Genomic DNA, 13,946 nt, shown 5'->3' with positions numbered 1-13,946 from the left:
TGGTTTTACAGATGAGGAACTGAGGCACAAGGAGGTTAAATAATTTGTGTCAGCTCAAACACCTGGTAAGAGGCAGAGCCAGGGTCTGGGGTCTGGCTCAAGAGAATAAACCCCTATCCCTGTCACTGTCCTGCTGCCAGGCATCTGGGGCCTAAGAGCAGGGCTGGCTGAAGGACCTTTTGTGGTTCTTGCTGGCCACCCAGTCTCTGATCGTCACTGGCCTAATGAATGGGTACTTTCTCAACTCTCAAGTTCTTTCCCTCTCATTGCAGGTACTGGTACAAGAGGAACGCCCGCATTCTCTGTCCAGTTCCATGCGCCAGGAGGTCTTTGTCACCATCGCTGATCTCAGGTGATGCCCACACGCCCCTTACACGGGCATCCTGGTTCCTCTCAGGGCCAATGCCAGGTCCAACTGACATGACCCTTTTTTTTTTTTTTTTTTTGTTTCAAAAAAAAAAATTTTCAATGGAGTCCATTTCAATGGAGTCTCGCTCTGTCCCCCAGGCTGGAGTGCAGTGGCACAATCTTGACTCGCTGCAACCTCTGCCTCCTGGGTTCAAGCAATTCTCCTGCCTCACTCAGCCTCCCGAGTAGCTGGGATTACAGGCGTGCACTACCATGCCTGGCTAATTTTTGTATTTTTAGTAGAGACGGGGTTTCGCCATGTTGGCCAGGCTCGTCTCAAATTCCTGACCTCAAGTGATCCACCCACCTCACCCTCCAAAAGTGCTGGGATTACAGGCGTGAGCCACTGCGCCTGGCCATGATCCATATTTTTAACTTTTGAAAACTGTTTATGTAGAAAAGAGGAAGCCAAATCCGTGTTTTTGAGTAAGCACTTTGATTTCATATATGCTACTATCCATATCTGAAAGACTTTATTGGAATCTCTTTGGAGTTCAGTTTTGTCCAAAGTATATTTGGCAGGAAGTTACTCCCATATATGTCTCATGACATTAGAGTTCCGGCTTCTAAGAAATTTGGAAGGGCTGCCTATTGTCTACCTCTCAGAGATTTATATTGTAGTGATTAAGCTGATCAAAGACCCTGAGAAGTCTTGTGGTTAAAAAGTTTTTTAACTAGATTCAACCCATGATTCCCCAAATGAACATTCAGCAGAATATGCTTTGGAAAATTGTGGCTTACCACGTTAGACTGTAGCAGGCTTCCCTCTGTGGCTGAACTGAAGGGAAGCCTGGAAGGATATTGCTCCAGTAACTTCTTGGGGGAAAACTTCCTCTAACCTTTTGTGAGATTTATCTGAACAGACTGACAAGCTATGCCATTTATTTCTCACATCAGAACAGTACACTAGCCTGTCTACCCTTTCCTTTTTAGTTGATCTCTGCTTATCAGTATCAAATCAAACCGTCTTTCCAGCTTGCTGTTCCCAAACTGTCTTTTCTTAGTTACCAAGATGTCCATTTGCTGTTGGGCTCTGAAGATCGAGCTGAGTTGTTCAGTCTTACCATCAAGAGTATAATCACTCTGCCCTCTGTAAGGACCCTTACCCAGATACAGGAAATCATGCCCAATGGGACCTGCAACACAGAGGTAACTCATGCTTTGCTTTAGTAACTTTCCATCCACAGGGTCAGCTGATCTTGGCCTTTGGAGAGTGCATTTGATTTTTTGAAACTAGCCAAAAACCATAAGCCAAGTCTGGTAAATAAAATAGGTGGTTAAATTAGAAGATAGCTTCTTTCAACCCTTCATTTTGTCTTCTTTCCTTTTCCCTTTATTCTTTCCTTCCTTTTGGCTTTAAAATAAGGTGGGAGCACTCGCTTGTGTGCTTAACGTTTATTTAAGCACACAATGTGCCGTATGTCATCATATGCCAAAAATGATGATAGGCAGTAGGAATACAGCAGTCCAGTCCCACTCACGGAACTTACATTCTAGTGCAGAGAGACAAACTGTTGATACATGCATATAATATGTCAGCTGATAATAAGTGTTATGAAAATGTAAAGCAGGGAAAGAGCAGGATCAAGGGCCCTGTGGTTGGGAGGCACATGGGTGGTCAGGCAAAGCCTTCATGATGGGATGATAATTGAAAGAAAAGAGGTGTGGGTATGTCTGGAGAGAAAGCTTTCAAGCAGAGGGAAGGGTACGTGCAGGCCTTGATCTCTTCTTCAGTGGCGAATAAACTGGTTGGTAAAGCAGTTACCCAAGAGGACTTTATTCCCCTCTGTTTGAAGATATCAGAAAGAGTCACAAGCCAACTTTAAAGAATCTTGATGACCCTTAAGCAGTTCCCCAGATGTAGTAAGACTCAGTCAGCTGTGATCCCTCTAGTGCCGAGGCGCCTGTTTGAAATGAAGATGTATTCCTTTTTACCTCATGCCACAAACAACCTACTAGTACCTTTACACTGGTACTGCAACTTTGAGTAAAGTCTTAGGGTCACATGAAGAGCCTCCAAAGTGTCCCATGCTAGGGGAACTTCACGTGGGGCCAGGGAGTGTTGCTGATCCTGTGCCTTTTCAGTGTCTTTACAGGCAGACGTTTCAGGCATTCTCTGAGATGCTCCAGAGTTTGGTGGTAAAAGACCCACATTTGGAAAATCTTGACACCATTATTAAGGTAAACAAGATATCAAGGGAGAGTGGGAAATGATTCCTATTAACTGGTGAAAGTGGGAGATGAAAATGTGGAAGTATTCAGTGGTAAGAGGCAACGTAGTAAAGAGTATCAGCTATCAACTTTGAGTCAGAGACTTGGGTTCAAATGCTGACTCTGCCATTCATTGGTTACACGTCCTCCCGCTAGAAATTCTGCAAGGAATTTGCTCTCTCAGTGTTGCATTTCTTCACATTTACATGGAGATAATAATTACTGTGAATATTGAATAAGTGGCCTTCAATAAATTATTTGTTTATTTATTTTCAGAGACAGGGTCTTGCTCTGTGGCCTAGGCTGGAGTGAAGTGGCACCATTATAGCTCCCTGCAGCCTCGAATTCTTGGCCTCAAGTTATCCTCCCACCTCAGCCTCCCAAAGTGCTGGGATTACAGGCATGAGCTACTGCACCCTGTCACAATAAATTGTTTAAATAGTTGCTTAATTATTCCTTAAATTATTCCTGGGGGCAGGGCGCAGTGTTTCACGCCTGTAATCCCAGCACAGGCCAAGGCAGGTGGATTATTTGAGGCCAGGAGTTCGAGACCAGCCTCACCAACATGGCACAACCCTGACTCTACTAAAAAATAAATAAATAAATAAATACAGAAATTAGCCAGGTGTGGTGGTACACACCTGTAATCCCAGCTACTCAGGAAGCTGAGGCATGAGAATCACTTGAACCCAGGAGGAGGAGGTTGCAGTGAGCAGAGATCGCACCACTGCACTCCAGCCTGTGTGACAGAGAAAGACTCTATTTCAAAAAAAAAAAAAAATTATTATTCCTCACTAGTATAGAAGGGTTTTATTCAGTGATGAGGGAAGGGTCAGCCTCAAGAGTTAGTAAGGCCAGGCACGGTGGCTCATGCCTGTAATCCCAGCATTTTGGGAGGCCAAGGCAGGCGAATCAATCATTTGAGGTCAGGAGTTCAAGACCAGCCTGGCTAACATGGTGAAAACCTGTCCCTACTAAAAATGCAAAATTAGCCAGGCATGGTGGCGCATGCCTGTAGTCCCAGCTACTCGGGAGGCTGAGGCAGGAGAATTGCTTGAACCCAGGGGGCAGAGGTTGCAGTGAGCCAAGATTGCGCCACTGTACTCCAGCCTAGGCGATAGAGCGAGACTTCTTCTCAAAAACAAAACAAAACAAAAAAAGAGTTAGTAAATAAGCAGCTTCCTACCAGATGATACTCAAAGGTTATAATGACGAACTGCTCTGACCTGCACCTGTTCCTGTATATGCTCTTCCATCACTAGAGATTGATTCATTGGAATTCATTCACTGCATTCAGGTATCTTGCTCTCCTACCCTTTTTTTATTGTTGTTATTTTATTTTTATTTTTCTTATCCTTTTTTTAAGATGCAGATATCCCAGAAAGGGATAAGGCTTTAAGCTATTATTAATCGTTTGCACCCAAATGATGCATTTATTGTTGTCCTAACTGACAAGCAAGGCACAAAAACCTAGGCAGTCGAGTGGTTTGGCTGCTACAGGAGCTTATTTTCTAGCTTATTTTCTTAAATGCTCTGATGGGCATTTATTCTCATCCTAACTGACCTTAATACTACTTCTCATTCCTCTTCTATTTGTACATTAGCATACCAGCCAGATTGGGTTTCTCCTCTTTATGCAGTTGTACTTTGTACTTTCCTGCCTTGGCAGCTTAATTCAAGCCTTTCTTTTTCTCTTTTTTTTGAGACTGGATCTCGCTCTGTCACTTAGGCTGGAGTACAGTGGCGCGATTTCAGCTCACTGCAGTTTCCGCCTCCCGGGCTCAAGCAGTCGTCCCACCTCAGCCTCCCGAGCAGCTGGGACTACAGGCACACGCCACCATGCCCAGCTAATTTTTGTATTTTTTTGTAAAGATGGGGTTTCACCATGTTGCCCAGGCTGGTCTCCAACTCCTGGGCTCAAGCAGTCAGTATAATCCCTCCGGCAGTGCTGGGATTACAAGCATGAGCAACCACACCTGGCTGTCCTCAGAGTTAAACTTTAAAATTAGTAGCATGTTGTTAACTTTATTTCTTTCCAAAGCAGATTTGAAAGAGCTAAAAACATTCAGAAGTACAGAATAATTAATTGAAGAATTGGGCTGAAGAGAAAGTAAGTCTAGAAAATAAGCTCTGGCCAGGCACAGTGGCTCACGCCTGTAATCCCAGCACTTTGGGAGGCCAAGGCGGGCAGATCACCTGAGGTCAGGAGTTCGAGATCAGCCTGGCCAACATGGTGAAACCCCGTCTCTACAAAAATACAGAATTAGCTGGGCGTGGTGGCGAGTGCCTGTAGTCCCAGCTACTCGAGAGGCTGAGGCAAGAGAATCACTTGAATTTGGGAGGCAGAGGTTGCAGTGAGCCAAGATCACACCATTGCACTCCAGCCTGGGCAACAGAACAAGACTCCATCTCAAAAAAAAAAAAGAAAAGAAGCTCCTAAGCTCCTATATAACAACCAAACCACCCACCACCCATGTCTTTGTGCCTTGCTTGTCATTCTACCACTTTTATTTCCAACCTGAGCTATAATAGCATTTAGCAAAGTATTTTGAGATCTGGTAGCAACATGGAACTTGTCACTCCACATTTCTTTCTAAACACAATAAGGATGGTATCCCAAATCTTCCTGATAAACCATTTAGCCTCCCTTTATTTCTCACAGCACTTGGTCCCCTGGTTACAGTCAGTCAAAGACCATGAGCGGGAACGGGCCACGGCCAGCATGGCTCAAGTTCTGAAGTGCCTATCCAAACATCTCAACTTGAAGGTGAGCGGCCCTTCAGTTGCAGAGGAGGAAAGATCCAAAGCCATTCCCTCACTGCCGATTTCTCCTCCTCTTTATAACTCCCCAGGCTGGTTCTGTGTCCCCTTCGTGCTCATGTACTATCATAGCACTTAGCATTGTCTTCTTATCTGCTCTTCTCCTGAGCAGCTTGGGGCCAGTTGCTGTGTTGATTAATCTTTGCATCTCCATTGCTTAACACAACAGCTGGAACATAATGATATAGTAACTATAACCTGAAAATACCTGAGGCCCATGGTGGCTAGTCTCTGTATAGTATTATATTTGAGTACAGCAGGCAAATTTAAATAAATCAACTTCAATATCTCCCAGCAACTCAAAGAGAGTGGTACTATGGCACCTCTTCAGATCCTCACATTTCTCTTTCTCTCTCTCACTTCTCAGTTCTGAATCATCTCCCCTATGGCATCTCATTATTATGATGATCATTATTCAAGGCAGGGTCTTGATCCATCACTCAGGCTGGAGTGCAGTGGGGCCATCATAGCTCACTGCAGCCTTGAACTCCTGGCCTCAGGCAATCTTCCTGCCTCAGCCTTCCAAGTAGGTGGGACTACAGTCACACGCCACCACGCCTGGCTAATTTTTATTTATTTATTTATTTATTTTGGTAGAGATGGGGTTTCACCATGTTGCCCTGGCTGGTCTCAAATTCCCAGGTTCAAGTGGTCCTCCTTCCTTGGCTTTCCAAAGTGCTGGGATTACAGACGTGAGCCACCACGCCCGTCCTCTTCTGGATTTTTCTGAGGAAGGTCCATAGTTTTTTTTTAAATCAATTTTATTGAGGTATAATTTGTATACAATGAATTTATCCAATTTAAGTATACAGTTCAATGAGTTTTGACAAATATATATTATCTGGGTCTCTAACTTTTTTCATATTCTCAAAGAAATCTAAAGAATAAAGAATAAAAAAGGAAATGCTGAAGAAGCATTTAGTAATCAAACTAGGAGCGTAATTCTTCAGTGGCCTTTTTTGTCTTGATAAAGTTTGGGGGTTCTTAATATTATGATTATAAAACTTAGGGCCGGGCGCGGTGGCTCACGCCTGTAATCCCAGCACTTTGGGAGGCCGAGGTGGGCGGATCACGAGGTCAGGAGATGGAGACCATCCTGGCTAACACGGTGAATCCCCGTCTCTAATAAAAATACAAAAAATTAGCCGGGCGTGGTGACGGGCGCCTGTAGTCCCAGCTACTCGGGATGCTGAGGTAGGAGAATGGCGTGAACCCGGGAGGCAGAGCTTTCAGTGAGCCGAGATCACGCAACTGCACTCCAGCCTGGGCGACAGAGCGAGACTCCATCTCAAAAAAAAAAAACAAAACTTATTAACTGTTTGTCATTCAGTGACAGGTGCAGGCCACCACGCCTGGCTAATTTTTGTAGTTTTAGTAGAGACGGAGTTTCACCATGTTGGCCAGGCTGGTCTCGAATCCTTGGCCTCAAGTGATCTGCTTGCCTCGGCCTCCCAAAGTTCTGGGATTACAGGCAGAGCCACCGCGCCTGGCACCTTCCAAGTTCTTTTTTGTGCATGAGTGTGTTGGGGTGGGGGCTTCCATTTCCAATTTGTTCTCTACATATAGCCAGAGTCATCCTCTTCAGACCCATGTCATTCTTGCTTTTGTTTTGTTTCCTTGTTTTCTCCCCTGTGTTTTCTTTATTTTTCTTCATTTTCTTTTTTTGCCCCATGTCACTTCTTTGATCCAGTGATTTCCAAACTGATCTTAGAATACGGGGTCATGTCTGATGTAGGTCTGTCTACCTCTCTACACCTAAGTCCCCTGACTTATCACACAGCAGCCACCTTTACCTTCCTTCTTCCCACATAAGGCTCATCTTGCCTCATGGCCTTTGCACTTGCTGCCTTCTCTGCTTGGAATGACCTTCCCTAGCTCTGCACAGAGCCAGCCCCTCCTGGTTCTTTAGCACTGTGTTCAGATGTCTCGACCTCAAAAGGGCCTCTGCTCACCACAGACAGACCTACGCTTGCTCTCTGTCTCATCACTCTCTCCTTCCTAGGGCTGTCTAGAATCAGAGGTTATCTGGCTTGATTCTTTCTTTACTGCTGTGTTATCTGTTTCCCACTAATAGAATGTAAATTCTACCAGTGATTATGCTTGTCTTTTTTTTTTTTTTTTATGTGAGACAGGGTCTTGCTCTGTCACCCAAGTTGGAGTACAGTAGCACAATCACAGCTCACTGCAGCCTCAACCTCCTGGCCTTAAGCAATGCTCCTGCCTTAGCCTCCTGAGTAGCTGGGACTACAGGCATGTGCCACCATGCCTGGTTAATTTTTTTGTTTTTTATACAGATGGGGGTCTCACTATATTGCCCAAGGTGGTCCAAACTCTTGGGCTCAAACAATCCTCCCACCTCTGCCTCCCAGAATGCTGGGATTACAGACATGAGCCACTGTGCCTTGCAATTATACTTGTCTTGTTCAGCACAGTAGCCTCAGTGCCTGCCTAGCACAGAATCGGCCATGTGGTTGATGCTCAATTCAATATTGATTGAGTAAATGTGAGTCAACCCATGTCCCTTCTCTGCTCAAGACCCTCCGACGGCCAAAGTCCTCACAATGTTCTACAGGTTGCGACACCTTCTGGCCCATTCTTCATCTACTTCCTATTTCTTTCCCTATCGTTAACATCGCTGCAGCCAACCTAACCTACTTATGGTTCCTCAGAAACACCAAACATACCTTCTCAGTCCTTGGCGCTTGCCATTCTCTCTGCCCAGAATACTCTTCTCCCAGGTATCAATCTCTCATTTCAATATTAGTGAGGCCTTCCCTGACCATCCTAAAATAATAATTCTTATCCCTTTCCCCTGAATTTTTGTTAATCATGACATTTATCATCATTTGATACATAATACATTTTACATATTTATTTTGTTTACTTTGTGTTTCCCCAACTAGATCATCACCTCCACAAGCAGGGATATTCTCTTTTGTTGACTGCTTATATCCCCAGTGCCAGTCATAGTTCCTGGCATATAACAGACACTGTATTTATTGGTTGATTGAATGAATGAAGGTTATATCAGTGAATTAAAGATGTTACATAGCTTTGCATGTTGCTACGTGTTTACTGTAAATAGGTTGTAAATGCTGTTCACAATATTTCTGTGTCTTATTTCTGTAGAGCCATGGAAGAAATTTCTTTCCATCTCAACCCTAGGAAAAGCTATGCTTCCTCCACGTGGCTAGTTGCTTCTTATCTTAAGGACAGCGTGAATCATGTTATATGGATCATTGTGTGCACCTCTACATTAGCCATGAGAGAGTTCAGAGCCTTGCTCTGTGGCCTGCCTCAAGCAAATGATGATTATGCATTCTGCATGCCAACCAAATTCTTTTTTTTTTTTTTTTTTTGCATGCTGCCTTCAAGCATCTGTTTAACAAAGCACATCTTGCACCGCCCTTAATCCATTTAACCCTGAGTTGACACAGCACATGTTTCAGAGAGCACGGGGTTGGGGGTAAGGTTATAGATTAACAGCATCCCAAGGCAGAAGAATTTTTCTTAGTACAGAACAAAATGGAGTCTCCTATGTCTACTTCTTTCTACACAGACACAGTAACAATCTGATCTCTCTTTCTTTTCCCCACATTTCCCCCTTTTCTATTCAACAAAACCGCCATCGTTCTCGTGGCCGTTCTCAATGAGCTGTTGGGTACACCTCCCAGACGGGGTGGCGGCTGGGCAGAGGGACTTCTCACTTCCCAGACGTGGCAGCCGGGCAGAGGGGCCCACCACCCCCCAGACGGGGCGGCTGCCAGGCGGGGGCACCCCCCACCTCCCGGACAGGGCGGCTGCCGGGCGGGGGCGCCCCCCACCTCCCAGACGGGGCGGCTGCCGGGCGGGGGCGCCCCCCACCTCTCGGACGGGGCGTCTGGGCAGAGGGGCTCCTCACTTCTTGGATGGGGCGGCCGGGCAGAGGCGCTCCTCAGTTCCCAGACGGGGTCGCGGCCGGGCAGAGGCGCTCCTCACCTCTCAGACAGGGTGGCGGCCGGGCAGAGGCGCTCCCCACATCCCAGACGATGGGCGGCCAGGCAGAGACGCTCCTCACTTCCTAGACGGGATGACGGCCAGGAAGAGGCACTCCTCACTTCCCAGACTGGGTGGCTGGGCAGAGGGGCTCCTCACATCCCAGACGATGGGCGGCCAGGCAGAGACGCTCCTCACTTCCTAGACGGGGTGGTGGCCGGGAAGAGGCGCTCCTCACTTCCCAGACTGGGCGGCCGGGCAGAGGGGCTCCTCACATCCCAGACGATGGGCAGCCAGGCAGAGACGCTCCTCACTTCCTAGACAGGGTGGCGGCCGGGCAGAGGCTGCAATCTCAGCACTTCGGGAGGCCAAGGCAGGTGGCTGGGAGGTGGGGGTTGTAGCGAGCCGAGATCACGCCACTGCACTCCAGCCTGGGCAACATTGAGCACTGAGTGAGCGAGACTCCGTCTGCAATCCCGGCACCTCGGGAGGCCGAGGCGGGCAGATCACTCGAGGTCAGGAGCTGGAGACCAGCCCGGCCAACATGGCGAAACCCCGTCTCCACCAAAAAACACAAAAACCAGTCAGGCGTGGCGGCGCGTGCCTGCAATCCCAGGCACTCGGCAGGCTGAGGCAGGAGAATCAGGCAGGAAGGTTGCAGTGAGCCGAGATCGCGGCAGTACAGTCCAGCCTCGGCAACAGAGGGAGACCGTGGAAAGTGGGAGACGGAGACGAGGGAGAGGGGGAGACCGTGGAAAGCGGGAGACGGAGATGAAGGAGAGGGAGAGCGCCAACCAAATTCTTAACTTCATTTATCTTTTCTACCTTAATGTTTTTTTATTATTTTTAATTTTTTTAATTTTTATTTATTTATTTATTTTGAAATGGAGTCTCATTCTGTTGCCCCGGCTGGAGTACAGTGGTGCAATCTCGGCTGACTGCAACCTCCGCCTACCAGGTTCAAGCAATTCTCCTGCCTCAGCCTCCCGAGTAGCTGGGATTACAGGCATGTGCCACCACGCCCAGCTAATTTTTTTGTGTTTTTAGTAGAGACGGGGTTTCACCATGTTGGCCAGGCTGGTCTTGAACTCCTGACCTCAAATGATATGTCCGCCTTGGCCTCCCAAAGTGCTGGGGTTATAGGCATGAACCACCGCGCCCAGCCAATTTTTTAATTTATCCAGTTTTCTCCAGTATTTATTTAAAGTTATATTTCTTTTTCTGGTATGATTTTTCCAGCTACATTACATGGATTTTTTTTCCATAATCAAGCAGGATATTAAAAAATGAATTTTATAAATAGAATTAAGTGCTATATCTCAACTTTGCGTTCAGCTTATTTTTATTTTTTATTTTATGTATGTATGTATGTATGTATTTATGTATTTATTTATTTATTTTGAAATGGAGTCTCACTCTCGTCACCCAGGCTGGAGTGCAGTGGCACGATCTCAGCTTACTACAACCTGCACCTCCCAGGTTCAAGCGATTCTCCTTCCTCAACCTCCTGAGTAGCTGGGATTACAGGTGCCCACCACCACACCTGGCTGATTTTCATACTTTTAGTAGAGATGGGGTTTTGCCATGTTGGCCAGGCAGGCTGGTCTCGAATCCCTGACCTCAGGTGATCCACCCGCCTCAGCCTCCCAAAGTGCTGGGATTACTGGCATGAGCCACTGCACCTGGCCACATTCAGCTTTTTTACTTAGCAGAATAGCACATTATAAATTCCTTAGATACTTGATTTTTAATGGTTGTGTTCATAGACTGGCTGTAGGATAATTCCTTTTACTACTGTCATGCAATTATTTCCAAAGCGCGGTCCTTAGACCACCGCTGGGTCTATACCCCAAAGAAAGGAAATCAGTATATGGAAGCGATATCTGCACTCCCTTGTTTGTTGCGACACTCTTCACCATAGCCAAGGTTTGGAAGCAGCCTAAGTGTCCACCAACAGATGAATGGATAAAGAAAATGTGGTTCTTATACACAATGAAGTACTATTCAGCCATAAAAGGAATGAGATCCTGTCATTTGCAACAACATGGATGGAACTGGAGGTCATTATGCTAAGTGAAATGTGCCAGGCATAGAAAGACAAACATCACATGTTTTCACATATTGTGGGACCTGAAAATCAAAACAGTTTAACTCATGGAGATAGAGAATGGAAGGATAGTTATCAGAGGCTGGGAAGGGTCGTGGCAGGATTGGGGAGAGGTGGGCATGGTTAATAGGTACCAAAAACATTGTTAGAATGAATAAGACCTAATATTTTATAGCACAACAGGGTGACTATTGTGCATTAGTAATTTTTAAATAATATTAAAATTTTAATACATTTTTATTTAGTAATATTAAATGTACGTTTATTGGCCAGCTGCAGTGGCTCAGGCCTGTAATTTGGGAAGCTGAGGTGGGTGGATCACTTGAGGTCAGGAGTTTGAGACCAGCCTGGCCAACACAGCGAAACCCCATCTCTACTAAAGATACAAAAATCAGCTGGGTGTGGTGGCTCACACCTGTAATTCCAGCTACTCGGGAGGCTGAGGCAGGAGAATCGCTTGAACCGGGGAGGCAGAGGTTGCAGTGAGCTGAGATTGTGCCATTGCACTCCAGCCTGAGTGAAAAGGGCAAAACTCTGTTTCAAAAAAAAAAATTATTAAAATAACTAAAAGAATATAATTGGACTGTTTATAACACAAAGGATAAATGCTTGAGGGGGTGGATACTCCATTTTACATGATGTGATTACTATGCATTGCATGCCTGTATCAAAACATCTGTATACCCCACAAATATATAGACCTACTATGTACTCCCAAAAATTAAAATTAAAAAATAAAAATAAAAACAGTGCTGGAATTAACATCTTTATGCACAAAGCTTTTTCGTTTTTCAGATTGTTTCCTTAGGTTAGCATTTCCCTATTTCTTAATAACACCATCTACTGACTATACTGTGTCTACCTGTGTTAAATATGAACCCTACAGAGATCCACAGGCTGATTGTGACCCTTAAACTTCTTGAGTTGAGAGTAGAATTGGGATTACTTCTCAACAACTCAAATCGAAGGCACTAAATGCACGTGTATTCTAATGACATTTTTCTTTTTCTTTCTCAAGCTTCCACTGCGATTCCAAAGACTTGGACACCTAGTGGCTCTGATGGCACTGCTCTGTGGGGACCCACAGGAAAAGGTGGCTGAGGAGGCTGCAGAGGGCATTCACTCCCTGCTGCATATCACCCTGAGGCTGAAGTGTAAGGCACTGCTGAAGGCCGCGAGGTCCTGAGTGAATTCTCCAGCACAACATAAGTACCTGCCCTCCTTACGCATTCAGTCCCCATGTTCTGGAAAGGCCTTTTACAGTAGTTCCTAAAGAGAAGGATACATGGTCCATAGGCAGAGATGAAGCAACACTGACTTAATAATTAGAATCCTAACACTAGATCAGACCCATCATTGCCATCCATCTGCATAGCCAGGGAGTGGCTAAACATGTGGCCCTGTGGACAAACTAGAGTGATTAGTTTGGTCAGAAGTAGGAGTGAGGCTGGGCGCAGTGGCTCACTCCTATGTTCATAGCATTTTGCCAGGCCAAGCCGGGAGGACTGCGTGGGCCCAGGAGTTCAAGGCCAGCCTGGGCAACAGGGAAAACCCCTTCTCTACAGAAAATTTTAAAAATTAGCTGGCATGGTGGAGTATGCCTATAATCTCAACTACTCAGGAGACGAAAGTGGGAGAATCGCTTGAGCCCAGGAGGTCGAGGCTGCAGGAAAATTAATGTCCTTATGAAGGGAAATTACAGGGGCCATGAGTAAGAATCAAATCTAGTTGCTGGGTTCAGGAAAGGTAATCCAGAGAATAAAGAGCAGTTTGCCACCTGAAGAGGTAAGAAGAGTATATTAGGCAGAAGGAATGGCTAAGGAAAGGAACCTGGGTAGGCATGAGCTTGAGGAGTTTGAAAAATAGAGAGAGGGCCAGTGTGGTCAAGGAATGAATCACTGACTTCCATGGTTAGAAGGGACTTTAGAGGATATCTAACCCAGCATTCCCCCAGTGTTTGAATCTCAGTCTACTCCATCCCTACCAAGTACAGTCATGCACCATATAATGACATTTCAGTCAACAACTGATCATGTATGGGTCACGTAAGATTAGAATGGAGCTGAAATTTTTCTTTTTATTTTATTTTATTTTATTTTGAGATGGAGTCTCGCTCTGTCACCCAGGCTGGAGTGCAGTGGTGTGATCTTGGCTCACTGCACCCTCCACCTCCCAGGTTCAAGCAGTTCTCGTGCCTCAGCCTCCTGAGTAGCTGGGATTACAGGCAGCCGCCACCACACCCAGCCAATTTTTGTATTTTTAGTAGAGATGGGGTTTCACCATCCCTACTAAATGTTACTTAATGTTGGCCAGGCTGGTCCCGAATTCCTGATCTCAAGTGATCTGCCCGCCTCAGCATCCCAAAGTGGTAGGATTACAGGCGTGAACCACCACGCCCAGCCTTATTATTTTTTTTTTTTAAGGA

The 13,946-nt window shown here is 45.8% G+C and overlaps 1 protein-coding gene across 3 annotated transcripts in view; it reads left to right on the top strand.

The window, feature by feature from the left end:
- MROH8 (maestro heat like repeat family member 8) overlaps positions 1-13,946 on the top strand; it is a 78,382-nt gene that overhangs the window by 19,100 nt on the left and 45,336 nt on the right. For 2 of the 3 annotated variants that reach the window (NM_152503.8, NM_213631.3), the window contains 5 exon segments: positions 273-352; positions 1,413-1,557; positions 2,494-2,589; positions 5,282-5,386; positions 12,540-12,675. In NM_152503.8, coding sequence (NP_689716.4) covers positions 273-352; positions 1,413-1,557; positions 2,494-2,589; positions 5,282-5,386; positions 12,540-12,675 — 562 coding nt within the window. 3 annotated transcript variants of the gene reach the window in all.

The sequence above is a fragment of the Homo sapiens genome, chromosome 20, assembly GCF_000001405.40.
Source record: "Homo sapiens chromosome 20, GRCh38.p14 Primary Assembly".
Lineage (NCBI taxonomy): Eukaryota > Metazoa > Chordata > Mammalia > Primates > Hominidae > Homo > Homo sapiens.
The sequence above is the reverse complement of the archived record's forward strand: the minus strand, read 5'-3'. Positions and strand labels throughout refer to the sequence as shown.